Raw genomic sequence first — 15,897 nt, forward strand, 5'->3', positions numbered from 1 at the left:
CTGACAGAGCTTGCCACGATCTTGGACTCTGGTCCAGTAAGACCAGGGTTAGCGGAGGGAGAAACTGTTTCTATAGAGAGTTTAGTGAGAAGCCTGCTTGCTTGCAACAAATTGCATTTCCTTAAACCCTGTTCTTGTAGTGAATCCTTTTTCTTATGGTAACTAGACTGTAGGAACTATTAGCCTTTGTGAGTTAAGTGCCGTGCTTTTATAGAAAAATCACCACTGGGTGGCTGGGCGCAGTGGCTCACACCTGTAATCCCAGCACTTTGGGAGGCTGAGGCAGGCAGATCATGAGGTCAGGAGTTTGAGACCAGCCTGGCCAATATGGTGAAACCCCGTCTCTACTAAAAATACAAAAATTAGCTGGGTGTGGTGATGGGTGCCTGTTATCCCAGCTACTCGGGAGGCTGAGGCAGGAGAATCGCTTGAACCCAGGAGGCAGAGGTTGCAGTGAGCCGAGATTGCGCCACTGCACTCCAGCCTGGGAGACAGAGTAAGACTCCGCGTCAAAAAAAAAAAAAAAAAAAAAGAAAGAAAGAAAGAAAGAAAAAGAAAAATCACCACTGGGTAAACAGTAAACTTTCACTTGGGATTCAGATGGTTACATCCATGTTTGGGAGGCCAGAGGGTCACATGCAGGTACCACCACTAAGCCATTAGCTCCCCCATTTCTAGGAGGGCGTGAGTCGCCATGTTCAGGCTGCATGGTTCCTCAGCTGCAATCCTGAACAAGGCTGGGGAATGATGGGCCAGGCCTGAACGGGACGACATGAAGGAGAAGCCGTATGCTGGCTCACAGTGGCCAGGCTGCCTGCATTCAGGTCCCCACTCTGCCACTCATTGGCTGGAAGCCTTGAGCCAATTACTTCACCTCTCCTCGTCCATTTTGTCATCTATAAAATGGATTATTCAGAGTATCTGATTCATTGGGTTATTGTGAAGATTAAATGAGTTATCTAATGTTATATGCATCAGCAGTTATTATTGTCATCATCATTATTATTTGACACAAAGCAAGGGAGACTTTTTTTTAAGGAGGAATAAGTTTATTTCTCCTCCATCCACTCAAAATATATCTTAACACCAGTGGCATTATGGAGACAGCATTTGGTTAGGGAGTGCCAAGCATTCTACAGCATTTGATGGTGGAAATAGTCATGCTTTTTATTTCTGCTCTCTAGGAATGTAAGGTGCACAGCAGGTCAGGGTACTGCTGTGTGAGACAAAAGGTCCAGGTAGAGGCAATTCTCCGGATGCAGGCAGGGCAGGTGCTCACTGGGCAGAGTGCTTCTCATACACCTTCAGGAACTCGAGCACGTCGTCGGGGGATCCCAAGATCACCGGCGCCCTCTGGTGAATGTCTGTGGGAATGACGTCTAACACGGCCTCCTTCCCAGTGGTGGCCATTCCCCCAGCCTTCTCCATGACGTAGGCCATGGGGTTGCATTCGTACAGCAGTCTCAGCTGGAAAACAAGACCGGGTAGCGGCCTCCTTGTATCAGAAGGTATTGCGTAAAAAAGAGACTTTTCTGCAGCAAAACATGCAGAGCTGGTGGGAGTTTCCAAGGGAACGAATACTGTATTTTTCCTTCCTGTGAGGCTGTAAAAGTTTCCTCCCACCCCAGGTTGCATCTGAGACAAAACAGTTAACCATTTGGTTAAATTCAACCATTCATCAAGCCAGTGCCAGCAATAGATTACCTGATGCAAATGTGAGACAGACCACCTGCATACTGGACAGAATGACATTTTGGCAGAAGCGATCATTGCCTTCTCTTTATACCATGGAAACTGGACTTAATGAGTGATTCTGTGTGTGTTGGATGGAGCTTCGCCTATTCTAAAAGCAATAAAAAAAATCCATGGTGGTGTCTGGCTACAGACATCTGGAAAGCAGACCGGCTCCTCCAAACAGTGTGATATTGTTTGCAACTCTGTGTGCATTCCTTTTACGATTCTCCGAAGGCTTTTGGGTTGGAATTCAGTGTATTATACGTCTTGGCATTCACCTTTAAATATTAACTTTTTTATTGTATGCCTTTTCATGCAGTCTGCCTACTGAGCGACAGCTTTCTGCAGGTGTTTCCTGAGTCTATTTCCACATAGGTGTCATGGCTAGTTTTGAAAAACCAAAAAAAAAAAGAAGGAGCCTCAATATTTGTGTTCAGGAACAATTTCGGGGGACTTTAGAGAAAAGTGCTGGAAAGCAGGCTAACCACACAGGTTGATATGCCCGAGGCAGCTACAGCTGGATGATGGTTTCAGTAAATAGAAATGCCTTCATTCTGGATGCCACATGCTGCAAACAGACCCAAATACATCCAAACACATAGGTTTTGTGTTTAAGGGAACTGTTGTTCCTGTTCTCCTCTTGCATTAAAAAAAAAAAAGGCAGCCACGCGTGGTGGCTCATGCCTGTAATCCCAGCACTTTGGGAGGCTGTGGCGGGTGGATCACTTGAGGTCAGAAGTTCAGGACCAGCCTGGTCAACAAGGTGAAACCCCGTCTCTACTAAAAATATAAAAATTAGTCGGGCGTGGTGGCGGGCACCTGTAATCCCAGCTACTCAGAATGCTGAGGCAGGAGAATCACTTGAACCCAGGAGGCAGAGGCTGCAGTGAGCTGAGATCGCGCCACTGCACTCCAGCCTGGGCGACGAGTAAGACTCTGCCTAAAAAGCCATCTGTCCACTGGGAAAACATAAGAAGGACACAATACTTGGGAAGGAAGCACACTGTCACCCTGGCAGAAGGAAAGCAGGGCAGCTCTGAGCGAGCGTGAGGGAGCACAGCCACCCTGCAGCCTGCTGGGAACACCATGGGCTTGGACTAGTGAGTCGGTGGTGACGGCTCACCTGAAAGCTCTAGGTTTCCCCAGAGATTCTTTCCTCCCCTAAAAGGTATCGTTTTCCAAGTAGTGGATGTTGACTCACTAGTTACCTCTGTTTTACACCTTTTGAAAGCAATCAAAGAAGACTTCTACTGAGGATACACATTTGATTCGCTGCCTTGGAAGTGAGGCTGGGTTGTTTCATTTCACTTTATGAATGGAATTCATTTTGCCCCAGCCAAGCCCTGTATCCACTGGAAGCCCTAAGGACTTTCAGTCCTCGTCCTGACCGTTCATTCTCTTTTGCCATAGCACTGGAAGGGCTCTCAAGAGACTATTTTTATCTTTAGTTGATATCGTCTGGCTTTACCTTTAATCCACAAAAGAATATGCTACAGACACACGTAGCAACCTAGCATGGAGCGTAATAGCTAGCAAAACCTTTCTTCTTCCTAAACTAAATCGCGTGGGCTGCAAGTGAAATCTGCTCCTCACTCCCTCTCCAGGGGACACCCTTACCTTTCCATTGGGGCTCTTCTTGTTAGCGGGGTACAGAAATATCCCTCCGTAGACCAGAGTGCGATGAACATCAGCCACCATGGAGCCCACATACCGGGCCCCATAAGGAGCTGAATTATCCTGCAAGTTAAGACCAGCAAGAATTAGGATTGCAGAAAATAAGAAAGAGAGTTTTCTTGGTGTCTCCTAAGTTTCTTTGATTCCACATCCATTCACCGAGCACCTACAAGGTATGTATTTGGGGCTGTGCTAAAAAATGTGATGAGAATCCTGTTCCCAATAAATAGAAAATGGAAAAATGGAGACAGCCTCTCATCATCTCACAATAGGTCAGATTGCCCACAGAAGCCCCAACGAGGGTATGGTTGATTCTGGTTATGGGGCTGAGGCAGGCATTACAGAAACTGTACCATTTAGTAACACCTTAAAGGCTGAGAAAGTTTGTTACCAAGCTAAGGAACCGGGCAGGGGTGGGAGGCAGTGTGTAATTTACAGGAGAGGAAACTGCACAAGTGTCTGCTTAGCAATGTGGAGAGGGATATGGTCCTGGAGGAGGAGCCTGTGGGACTCGGGTGTGCGTGTGCGGAGCTTGGGGGCAGGAGGGGAATCCAGGATAAGGTGAAAGGAGAGATGAGTAAGCTGGAGAGAAAGCCTGGGGCAGATCTGAGGCCTCCTTGAACGTCCTGCAAACATTTGAGCTTCATCTCTAGCAAACAGCAGCCATCGATGGCTTTTAAACAAAGAAAGGACAAAATCAGATATTCCATATAGAGCAAGCTCCACACAGCCATTTCTTCTCTTCATATTCACTAGCTTGTAACCTCTTTAGGGAGATGTCACGATGGGCACTCTCGGTCTCGAGATAACTGATAGATGCACCTCAGGCAGGCCTAGCAAGGGGCAGACACCACTTGACGGGCATTTGAGTGGGGGAACCACATTTCATCCCATCTGGGACCATGGACCCCAGAAGGGAAGATGTTTTACTGCCATGAATTCATTCATTTGTTTAACTTTATTATCCTAATTTTCTTCTGCCAAGAGAAAGTAGCAAAGGCTGACATGGAGACTGATTTTTGATGTCTCAGGGTGAGAATTCCAGTCTCCAGTACTGAGGTGAGAACTTCATCGTGGGCTCAGTGTAGACGGAAGCCCAATCCACTCCATCCCTGCTTCCTTTCACCTTTAGGGTAAGTCATCAACCAATAGATTTCCACACTGCTCAGGAGCCCCACATGAGGCCCAAGGCCCTCGATCCCAAGGATCCCTTTCATCTCCGGGGGATGCCCCTGCCTCCAGAACGGCCTCTGGTGCCAGATGCCCAGAACCTGCACCACCCTCCCCGGGCCCTCACTTACTGGGGGGAACTTCTTCCTCTGGATGTACTCAGTGACGGCAGGGTCAAAGTCCCTGGCGTAGCCCTCGTTAAGGCTGTAGATTTTACCTTTCTTTTTTATCTTCACATCCTTGTCCACCAAAATGAACTCCCCGATGGCCTTTTTAGACAAGGAAGGAAAGGTGGAGAGATGACGAGCGCACTGGGTCCCCCAGGCCTGGATGAGGCGAGCGATGGGCTGGGCTACGCTGGGCTGGGGTCGCGGCGCACGGGCACCACTCATCTTGGGGCCCCGAGACACCTGCCAGGCTCTCTGGGAACTGTGAATGGGGTGAGGGGAAGCAAGACAATGCTGCAGAAGCCATCAGGGTGATAACAGACACTTTCGACTTTGTTTGCATATGATTTCAGTCAAACAAGAAAGAAACCACACAAAAATAGGGAGAGCAGACTTGTGAAACAACTGCTAAGCCTGCAAGAGAGTAAGAACCGTGTGTCCAAAGCAATATAAGATGTGTATGCCTTTACCAAACAGAAAAAAGGGTTGGTTCAGGCGGGAGGTGGGCTCTCAGGAGAGACGGGCCACCGCAGGATCAGTCCCTGAGTTACACCCAAGTGCTCAGCGCTGTTCTCGGCTTTACATTTCTACCTTGATGGGAGTTCTCCTTTCTGGGCGTTCTTATAGAACAAAGTAGAACCCTGAGTTTTGAGTCTGGCGTACGTAACTTCCGATGGCCTTTGCTCGCTGGCGTGTGAAGTTTTTCTCAGACTGCCTCTTCCCACATAGCCCAGGGTTAAGCTTATGCCTTTAAGCTTTAGGCTCTTCAAAGGAGATTTGAATTTGGGGGAAAAGTGTTGCAGAAGTCCTATTGCTCCGGATTGAGGATTGTTATGGGTTCCTGTGTGTTTTTGGCAAGAGGGTGATCGAGGCTCTGCCCATTTAGGAGGGGCTTGACGTTGACACAAGAGTTGAAAAGAAAAAAGGCCCACCGACACCTCTCTACCTAGCCATTTATTCCACAGCAGAAATTGGTTCCTACCCATATGGAATACGTTGAAACCAGACAGACAGGGAGAAAGGGAGGGGAGAATTCACAGTGGCCATTGAAAGGTGTCACTGGAAGTGATTCTTCTTTCTTACTTTTATGCCTTTTTTAATATTTTCAAAATTTTTGACCACAAGTATACCGGAATATTCTTTTATCGTTGGTAGAAAAATAAATAAATAAATGTCTTTCAAAAAACTATATAGAAAAGAAAGCCATCTCACAACAGTTGCTGGGTGCAGAGCGCAGGGCCCAGCCAGACTGTCCATGGTGCAAAGGAGGAAAGTCTGTGTACAGAGACAAAACATAAAAGCTCCCAGAAAGTTGAAGCCGCTGGAAACCCGAGTACAGCTGTAGCAGTGTTTTCAGCAGAAACCGTCAGCCTGGCTTTGCAGCAAGCGCAAACAAAGAGGAAGCACTTAGCACCTCCCTGGCGGGAGGCTCAGCCCCGTCAGGCACCGCAGACAGAAGGGCTGGAATCAAATCCCAGCAGCCCTGCATTGCGCTTCCAAACATTCAGGACTGAGGAGGGCAAAAGACTATCAAACACACAGAAGCTTCCCTACAGGGATGCTCCCCTGCAATCTGGAAACAAGAAGGGATTGAATGTTTTCTCTGCTTCCACCAACTCAAAGGTAACAAGAGAAGGCACCAGAAGAATGGGAAGCAGTCAGGGCCCGGCAAATCACAGTCAGCAAACATCAGTGGTGCCCGAAATTCCATCCTGGGCTCAGGTGGAACTTTGCTCTGGTTCTGCCACTAACTCCCCCACCCCACCCCTACCCAGGTCACCACATTTGGCGACTTTAACTAGTGCTATTACCCTACCCTTGTTTATTTGTTAAGTGCCCATGCTTCCAAGGAGGTGAAAGTCCACTTCCCTGACAGCCTGGGACAAAGGCAGCCTGTGTTGAGTTAGCCTTCCTGCCACACACAGACCCGGCCTCACCTCCAGCAGCCTATCTCGCACAGAAGGTTCCTGTTCCTTGTCTGTTCCTGGGGTTCAGTTTGCCAGCAAAAAGCACTTTACACATAGTTCACTAATGTCATAGGAGGACATCTCTAAAAGTTAAAAAAGTTGGCCAGGCATGGTGGCTCATGCCTGTAATCCCAGCACTTTGGGAGGCTGAGGCGGGCAGATCACCTGAGGTTAGGAGTTCGCGACCAGCCTGACCAACATGGCGAAACCCCGTCTCTACTAAAAATACAAGTGTGGTGGCAGGCGCCTGTAGTCCCAGCTACTCAGGAGCTGAGGCAGGAGAATCGCTCGAACCCAGGAGGCAGAACTTGCAGTGAGCCGAGATCACGCCACTGCACTCCAGCCTGGGAGACAGGGCAAGACTACATCTCAGAAAAAAAAAAAAAAAAGAAAGAAAGACTGCACCAGTTAACTGAAGGTTTGTGTAAATGTACACGAATAAATGTGGGAGCTATTTTTGAAGAAGCAATGTCGTCCACTGCTTCAGTTGGCACACCCATTCGTCTCAGGAAAACAGCCTTTTGGTGACTAAAGTAGAAAAGCTAGAAATGGATGGATACAGTTTATGGCAAACAGAATATCTACAGCCCCATCAGGTCCATAAATGCATTTTAGTTGGCCAACATAGTGTTGCACACATGCAGAAACATTATGTTTTTTACAATCCAGTGTTTCTTGAACCATTAATAGAAGCCTTGGCAAGGCGGGCCCCCTCCTCCCAATTGTAATTGCTGGAACTCTTCAGTTCACCCCAGTTCCACCCTTGCCCCCCGGCCTTCCTTCCCCAGCACACTTCATCATCCCTATGGCCTGCCTGGACCTGGCATTTGGGTCATTTGAGTAACAGCTGCTCTGAGGAATTCACATTGGAACAAAGACCCCCTCTTGTGCCAGTCTGAGATGGCATTTCTCACCTCCATAGTCTGCTCGGGAGGCATACACTCTCTCTTGGTCTCCTGCCCCCTTTCCACCACACATCATCATCTCTGTCCCTCCATGGGCATCACCTCCCACCTCCACATACCCCTGCCAATCCCCCACACATATCATTCATTTGCTCACAGACACCAGCCAAGCCCCCAGCCTCCTGTGAGGTCTCTCACCGGGTCCAGCATGAAGCAGTTGACCCCACAGTCCATGGCAAGGACCAGCATGGTGGCACTGCCATACAGTGCGTAGCCGGCTGCCACCAGGTTCCGGCCTGGTTGCAGAGCATCCTTCTCAGAAGGCTCATCAGTTGATTTCTAGAGCAAGAAAGAAATCAAAGAATGTTTTTGTTTTGTTTTGTGATTCTTTTTTACAGTTCAACCATTAACAGGAGGCATTCTCAAGGTGCTCTTCTAATGAAATAGGGCATCTTCCCAGAGGGGCCTTCCCCTACACATCAGCAATATCCTGATTAGATTATCACGGCAGCCTTCCCACCAGAACCCAGATTTCCTGCATCTGGATTCCTCTTTCCAATTAGGGCCCTCCTCCAATTTTTCTAATGTGATATTCCCTCATCTCTCCACTATCAGTTCCAAAAAAGAGCATGCCTTCTTGCCAGTTCCCACTAATTTAATCTTATTACGGGCATCCATCTCTGTCACCTGCCTACTCCATCTTTATTTAAATAAATTAACACTGGGCTGCAGGGCAGCCAGTCTGCGGAGGAAATCAGTTTTGTGAGCTCTTGCCGCTGCAGCCCATACTCTGCTGAGCATGTGGTCTATATCACTCACACGTCAGGGAAATTCTCAGAAACGTAGGAACTCAGAATATCTCCCCAGAGTCATTATGGGGTAGAGCAGATGCTGTCCAGTGTTTTAACCGTGATGCATGGGAAGAAGCACATTTTACATCACAAACCAGTGCCCCCACACACACACCAAAAAGTTACCAAAATAATACCTACACTTAGAACGTGGCATGTGCCGTAATCCATTTTTTCATTAAAAACACAGCCCACTGGGTCATGTGGTCCAGAGTTTTTCTAACACTAGGGAAGGGAGCCCCTTAAGGAGACAGCTCCTAACCACTGATTTCTTACTATTAATGATTTTCTTCTTTTTTTTTTTTTTTGACACGGAGTCTCGCTCTGTCGCCCAGGCTGGAGTGCAGTGGTGCTATCTCGGCTCACTGCAAGCTCCGCCTCGCGGGTTCACACCATTCTCCTGCCTCAGCCTCCCAAGTAGCTGGGAGTACAGGCGCCTGCCACCACACCCAGTTAATTTTTTGTATTTTTAGTAGAGAGGGGGTTTCACCGTGTTAGCCAGGATGGTCTCTATTTCCTGACCTCGTGATCCACCTGCCTCGGCCTCCCAAAGTGCTGGGATTACAGGCGTGAGCCACTGCGCCCAGCCTGATCTTCTTTATTAACACTGGATTGACCTCTTTGGTCATCAAGACAGCCCCAAACAAATCTTTCAGCTTAACTACTCTCTGCTTGAATTAAGCAGAAATAAAAATATGCAATTTCTCGAACTTCACTTATTCTTTTCCTAGATTCCTGCAGCTGAGCGTAAGCAGGGGCATCTGTATCACGCAGCTGGAGAAGGAAGTCATCCCAGCAAAACATTCCAGGTAATTTCTTCCCATAACTTTCAAAAGGGTGGCCCACAGAGCACCTGCATTAGAATCACCTGGGATATTTATTAAAAATGCACATTCACAGCCGGGGTCATGACTCATCCCTATAATCCCAGCACTTTGGGAGGCTAAGGTAGGAGGATCATTTGAGGCAAGGAGTTTGAGACCAGTTTGTGCAACACTGGGAGACCCCATCTCTACGAAAAAAAATTTTTTTTTAATTAGCCAGGCATGGTGGCATGTGCCTGTGGCTACTAAGGAGGCTGAGGCTGGAGGATCACTTGAACCTGGGAGGTCGAGGCTGCAGTGAGCCATTATCATTCCACTGCACATGCCTGGGTGACAGAATGAGAACCTGCCTCTTTAAGAAAAAGAAAAGAAATGCATATTCTGGGGCTACAGCCTAGACACACTGTCAGACTTTCCATGGCGGGGCCTGAGAATCTGCATTGCACTATGCAATGTGAAGGGGTGACCTTCACACTCAAGTGTAAGAACTTCACATTCAAGCATAACAACTACTCATATAAATGAGAAAACCACAAACCAGAAAACCACAAACCCATTTCTTTCCACCGCTTCCCTGCCCCTCCTAGTTTTCACCTGGGGAGGTGGTTAGTTAGCTGGTTGCACTGGGTTATTTGATTCAGTTTGGTTTGTATTCACCAGACAGTACAGTGGAGCTAAACACAGACTAAACTTACAGGATCAAAACTTTGAGGGAATAATTCCAAGTTTTGCCAATGCACAACCTTGAAAAATGAAATTAATGGCCTTTGTCAACATGCGCTGCCTGTCAGAGGCTCATTTTAACAATCACCAGCTTCCCTTGAAGCCAGGTACACAGTGGGTGGACTCAGGACTCTAACTCTCCTCTCCTCCCACTGCAGGCTTCAAGTAACCAGTTCTCTGCCAATAAAGGCCCCTTTTCCCAGAGATTCACCTCGCCCAGAACCATCCGTGCCGGCCTGTGGCAAAGGTGCAAAAGTAAACAGCCCTTCCCTGACATACGGTCACCAAATGCTCTACATTTATACACTTCCTCGCACGGAATAAAAAATAATAGTAATACTTGTCTATGACCCACATACTCAAAACGAAGAGAAAATTATCCCACTGAGCCATGGATTTGGAGGAATTCTTTTCTAGCCCAGCCCCCAATTTTTTTTTTTTTTTTTTTTTTTTTGGAGACAGAGTCTTGCTCTATCGCCAGGCTGGAGTGCAGTGGCACAATCTTGGCTCACTACAACCTCCACCTCTTGGGTTCAAGTGATTCTCCTGCCTCAGCCTCCCAAGTAGCTGGGATTACAGGCGCCCACCACCACGCCTGGCTAATTTTTTTTTTTATTTTTAGTAGAGATGGGGTTTCACCATGTTGGCCAAGATGGTCTCGAACTCTGGACCTCAGGTGATCCGCCTGCCTCAGCCTCCCAAAGAGCTGGGATCAGCCCCCTTTCTAATTCCTTCCTCCAAATGCTCAGCAATGCATGCCTTTCCTCCAAGGGAAACATATTCCATTCTCCTGCAGATGCCCAGGGACCAATGAGCACGGAGCACTTGGCAAAATCAGAAACCTCTGGACCCTTCCTTTCTCTGCCTATCTGAGGCCACCACCTGCTGTAGGCACTGGCTCCATGTCATCACATATTATTCCATGTCATCACATAAGGAGAAGTAGGCACAGAAACGGAGGGCCTGGGGGAGGAGAGACTGTCACGTCCACAGTGGTCTTTCCTCGGAGCAGAAACCAAACCCTACTTTTCTGAATCTCTGCTTTTGTGGTGGGAGCTGTAAAGGACATTGCAAGTTAGAGTATGTCCAGTAGAGGGTGATCAGGCTAGAGAGAAGTCTCAGATCCCTCTCCTGTGAAAGATGTTCAGCTTAAAGGGAAAAAAAGTGGGTGTGGTGGGCATTATTGGGAGGGCAGAAACACTGTTTCCAAACATGTCAAAGAATCTTATTTTCTTATGCTCTAAACAGCCAAGTGAGCAAAATGAAACAGATTTCAACTCAATATTTGGACAAACCATGATGGTTACCCAGCATTGCAGGAGAATTCGCCCTGTCAGGATGTCTCCAGCCAGACACTGGTGGGGCCAGGCACCGTGGCTCATGCCCGTAATCCCAACACTTTGGGAGGTCGAGGCGGGAGGATCGCCTCAGCCCAGGAGTTCAACACCAGCCTGGGAAACATAGCGAGACCCCCTTGTCTCTACAGACAATACAAAAATTAGCCAGGTGTGGTGGTGCACCTGTAGTCCCAGCCACTCAGGAGGCTGAGGTAGGAGGATGGCTTAAACCCGGGAGGGTGAGGCTGCAGTGAGCCATGATGGCGCCACTGCTCTCAGCCTGGGCGACAGAGTGAGACCTTGTCTCAAAAAAAAGAAAAAAAAGAAGAAAAAAAAAAGGCCGGACGCAGTGGCTCACGCCTGTAATCCTAGCACTTTGGGAGGCCGAGGCGGGCGGATCACGAGGTCAGGAGATTGCCACCATCCTGGCTAACACACGGTGAAACCCCGTCTCTACTAAAAATACAAAAAAAATTAGCCAAGCGTGGTGGCGGGCGCCTGTAGTCCCAGCTACTCGGGAGGCTGAGGCAGGAGAATGGCGTGAACCCGGGAGGCAGGGCTTGCAGTGAGCCGAGATCGTGCTACTGCACTCCAGCCTGGGCGACACAGGAGACTCCATCTCAAAAAAAGAAAAAAAGAAAGAAAAAGGAAGAAGGAAGAAAAGGAAGAAGAAGAGGAGGGAGAAGGAGGAGGGGAAGAAGGCAGAGGAGGAAGGGGGGGACGAGGAGGAGCAGGGGGAGGAGGAGGGAGGGAGAAGGGGGAGGGACAGGGAGAAGAAAGAGAAAGAATAGTAGTAGTCGTGGCCGGGCGCGGTGGCTCACGCCTGTAATTCCAGCACTTTGGGAGGCCGAGGTGGGCGGATCACGAGGTCAGGAGATCGAGACCATCCTGGCTAAAACAATGAAACCCCGTCTCTACTAAAAATACAAAAAATTAGCCAAGCGTGGTGGTGGGCGCCTGTAGTCCCAGCTACTCAGGAGGCTGAGGCAGGAAAATCGCTTGAACCAGGGAGGCAGAGGTCGCAGGGAGCTGAGATGGCGCCACTGCACTCCAGCCTGGGCGACAGAGAGAGACTCTGTCTCAAAAAAGAAATAGTAGTAGTCGGTAGGCCCTGGAAAGATGCTGTGGCAGGAGCTGCATGCAACATGACCACACATCCTTCCACGTGCCTTTCCAGGAATCGTGTAGCAAGGCCTGGTCACCATGGCAGGGTCACAGTTACTGATGCTGCCCCACTGGGCGTGGGCACCATGGTGCGATTCTAGCCAACAATCATCTCTGCAGAAAGCAGGAAAAATCCCCTTGGAAGCATTATAGATGTCTATGTTTATGCCTCATGAGCCCTCAACTGGTTTCAGCTGTTTCAAGCAATCAATAAGGCTTCAAAAAACTGAAATGACTTAGAGGTCTGTGTCATACTCATCATCACTTTCTTTTTATTAATTAATTAATTTATTTATTTATTTTTTGAGACAGAGTCTTGCTCTGTCACCCAGGCTGGAGTGCAGTGGTGCGATCTCGGCTCACTGCAAGCTCCGCCTCCCAGGTTCACACCATTCTCCTGCCTCAGCCTCCCAGGTAGCTGGGACTACAGGGGCCTGCCACCACACCCGGCTGATTTTTTGTATTTTTGGTGGAGATGGGGTTTCACCGTGTTAGCCAGGATGGTCGCAATCTCCTGACCTCGTGATCCGCCCGCCTGGGCCTCCCAAAGTGCTGGGATTACCGGGGTGAGCCACCGCACCAGGCCCCACTTTCTGTCTTTTAAAAAAGTCACTTCTGGTTCATTGAGAAGACAGCCGAGCCTTATTGTTGAGAATTCTGTCATTCATAATTCAAGCTGCTGTTGCAAGCTGGCTTGATTTTTTTTTTTTAGTTGATAGCCAATGTCTCTCAATTTCCCAGGTTTTTTTTCCTTAAAAAGTATTATTTGGGGGGACTGAGATGGAGAATGGGCTTAGTAAACATCAACACTGCTTTAGTTGTGGTTAACACATTAGCCAGATGTCTTCCTCTGCAAGGAAGAATTTTGCTACAAACCTCTCCTGCTATTCTGTGGATTTGATATTTTGCAAGGAAAATTGCATTCTTCCATGTCTACAACAGAAATGGTATGTTCCTTGGCATGACTTGGAAAATGGATAAATTGTTGCCTTTTTGCCTTTCTAGTATGAGAATTTGAATCTTCTATTCCTCAAACTGATTGTGATGTGGATCTGCCTCTTACCCAAGATAAAAAGCAAAATACGTTCCAATGACCAAAGATAACTGTGCCATGGGGGCTCTACTTTTCACATATTTGAAAGGAAATTATGTATAATACTAGACAATAAGTCACTTTTAGAGATAAAGTGCAAATTTGGGTCTCAGTTCTTTTTTTTTTTTTTTGAGACGGAGTCTAGCTCTGTCACCCGGACTGGAGTCCAGTAGCGCGATCTTGGCTCACTGCAACCTCCACCTCCCAGGTTCATGCCATTCTCCTGCCTCAGCCTCCTGAGTACCTGGGACTACAGGCGCCCGCCACCATGCCCAGTTAATTTTTTGTAATTTTTAGTAGAGACGGGGTTTCACCGTGTTAGCCAGGATGGTCTCAATCTCCTGACCTCATGATCCGCCCACCTCGGCCTCCCAAAGTGCTGGGATTACAGGCGTGAGCCATCTCGCTAGGCCAAGGGTCTCAGTTCTTAAGTTAATGCCTTTGTGTCCTAGAACAGAGTTCAGCTGAACCAACCTCTTCAGTCGATTCCAGCCTGTGAGGTTTCAGTTCTGAAATAAACAAGAGCTGAATATAGAATGGTATGGTAGACTTTGGAGACTTAGAAGGGGGTGATGGGAGGGGATGAGGGATAAAAAAACTGCATATTGGATACAATATATACTATTCTCGTGAGGTATAAACTAAAATCTCAGACTTCACCACTATACAATTCATTCATGTCACCAAAAACTATTTGTACCCCCCAAAGCTGTTAAAACTATATATATATATACTTTTTTTTTTGAGACGGAGTCTTGTTCTGTTGCCCAGGCTGGAGTGCAGTGGTGTGATCTCGGCTCACTGCAACCTCCACCTCCCAGGTTCAAGCGATTCTCCTGCCTCAGCCTCCCGGGACTACAGGCGCCCACCACCATGCCTGGCTGTTTTTTTGTATTTTTAGTAGAGACGGGGTTTCACAGTGTTAGCCAAGGCAGTCTCAATCTCCTGACCTTGTGATCCACCCACCTCGGCCTCCCAAAGTGCTGGGATTACAGGCGTGAGCCACCGCATCCGGCCTAAAATATATACTTTGAAAAAATAAAACAAAACAAGAGCTAAAGCTAAGAGGATGTACCTTGGATTTTATCATGTTTCCTGATGGGTGGATGGGTTTTCATTCTATTTTTCACTTATTCGTATAATTGAGCACCTCTCCCTCTCCCTCTCCTCCCTCTCCTCCTCCTCCTCCCTCTCCTCTCTCTCCTCTCTCTCTCTCTCTTTCTCTCTCTCTCTCTCTCTCAGAAAAAGCAGCTCTGGAGGAGGGGTGACTGCCCGAGTCAGGTGTTAGGAGACCCGAGCAGGGCTGGATTCTCATCCTATGCTGTGTGCTTTCTACGACTTAGAGCAAAGCTCAGTAAACTGTTTCTACAGACAGACAGATAGTAAATTTTTCAGTTTTATGGGCCATACAGTCTCTATCATAACTACAAAACTTTGACAGTGCAGCAGAGAATCAGCCAAAGGCAGTATGTGAAAAAATGAATGTGACCAAATGCCAATTAAAGCTTCATTCGTGAAGAGTAAAACTTAAAATGGATCACGAAACTTTGTTCTTTAGTTTTTTTCAACTATTTAAAAATGTAAAAATGGTTATTCTTTGTTCACAGGCTGTACACATTAGGCCACAGGCTGGACTCAGCCCGGGGCTCATAGCTTATAGACCATTGACTAGGGGACTTAAAGGACAGTTTTGACATAGTCTCTATTGTTGTCTTACACTCTCAACTCTGAGTTCACATCGTATCATCACTATACTTACCCTCTACTGCCTCTTTTTTAAATCTCATTTTCTATCATAAAAAGTAAGACATAGTAAAAAGAGTGAAATATCCTTCTCTTCCCACCCATATTTTACCCTATATTCTCTTTCAACAATCTAGTGGGTCTTCGTCATGCAATTAGTGCTGAAAAGCTCAGAACTTGAGATACAAATCTACTTCAGTCTCACAGTTTCATGATCTCCACTCCGGCTGCTCTGCCACAGTGAAATAGGACTGGATGCTCAATCTTAACTTCTGTCCCCAAACCAAGTGCTTAAGATATCACGTTTTACCTTTCTATAGATGCCAAAAATGGTTCCAACGGACACAAGGCAATCGATGTTGGAAGATCCATCAAGGGGATCAAAACAGACCACATATTTACCCTGAGCACAGAAAAAAGAAATACAACCTTAAAATGTTATAGCAAGATACACTAAAGGAGTATACATTAGGGGCTAAGAATGGGAATTTAGAAGAAAGTTCAAAAAATGTGGGTCTTATTTATTTGTACTGTCATGGAAGGCA

The 15,897-nt window shown here is 47.4% G+C and overlaps 1 protein-coding gene across 3 annotated transcripts in view, besides 2 other annotated features; it reads right to left on the bottom strand.

Annotated features, from left to right (window-relative positions):
- The window catches only part of FBP1 (fructose-bisphosphatase 1), a 37,131-nt gene continuing 22,261 nt past the window's right edge, over positions 1,028-15,897 (bottom strand). For all 3 annotated transcript variants that reach the window (XM_006717005.5, NM_001127628.2, NM_000507.4), the window contains 5 exons: positions 15,663-15,755; positions 7,816-7,956; positions 4,710-4,847; positions 3,352-3,471; positions 1,028-1,467 (listed from right to left, as the gene is read on the bottom strand). In XM_006717005.5, coding sequence (XP_006717068.1) covers positions 1,276-1,467; positions 3,352-3,471; positions 4,710-4,847; positions 7,816-7,956; positions 15,663-15,755 — 684 coding nt within the window. In that variant the 3' untranslated portion in view covers positions 1,028-1,275. The remainder of the gene's footprint in view (positions 1,468-3,351; positions 3,472-4,709; positions 4,848-7,815; positions 7,957-15,662; positions 15,756-15,897) is intronic.
- Positions 5,940-6,441: an enhancer, noted in NCBI's record as "NANOG hESC enhancer chr9:97370327-97370828 (GRCh37/hg19 assembly coordinates)". NCBI's record gives its function as "activates a minimal SCP1, AML or CMV promoter by ChIP-STARR-seq in primed H9 embryonic stem cells {active_cell/tissue: H9 hESC(primed)}" and the evidence as "EXISTENCE:reporter gene assay evidence [ECO:0000049][PMID:30033119]".
- Positions 7,870-8,369: an enhancer, noted in NCBI's record as "H3K4me1 hESC enhancer chr9:97372257-97372756 (GRCh37/hg19 assembly coordinates)". NCBI's record gives its function as "activates a minimal SCP1, AML or CMV promoter by ChIP-STARR-seq in primed H9 embryonic stem cells {active_cell/tissue: H9 hESC(primed)}" and the evidence as "EXISTENCE:reporter gene assay evidence [ECO:0000049][PMID:30033119]".

Source organism: Homo sapiens, chromosome 9 (genome assembly GCF_000001405.40).
Source record: "Homo sapiens chromosome 9, GRCh38.p14 Primary Assembly".
In the NCBI taxonomy this organism is placed as follows: Eukaryota; Metazoa; Chordata; class Mammalia; order Primates; family Hominidae; genus Homo; species Homo sapiens.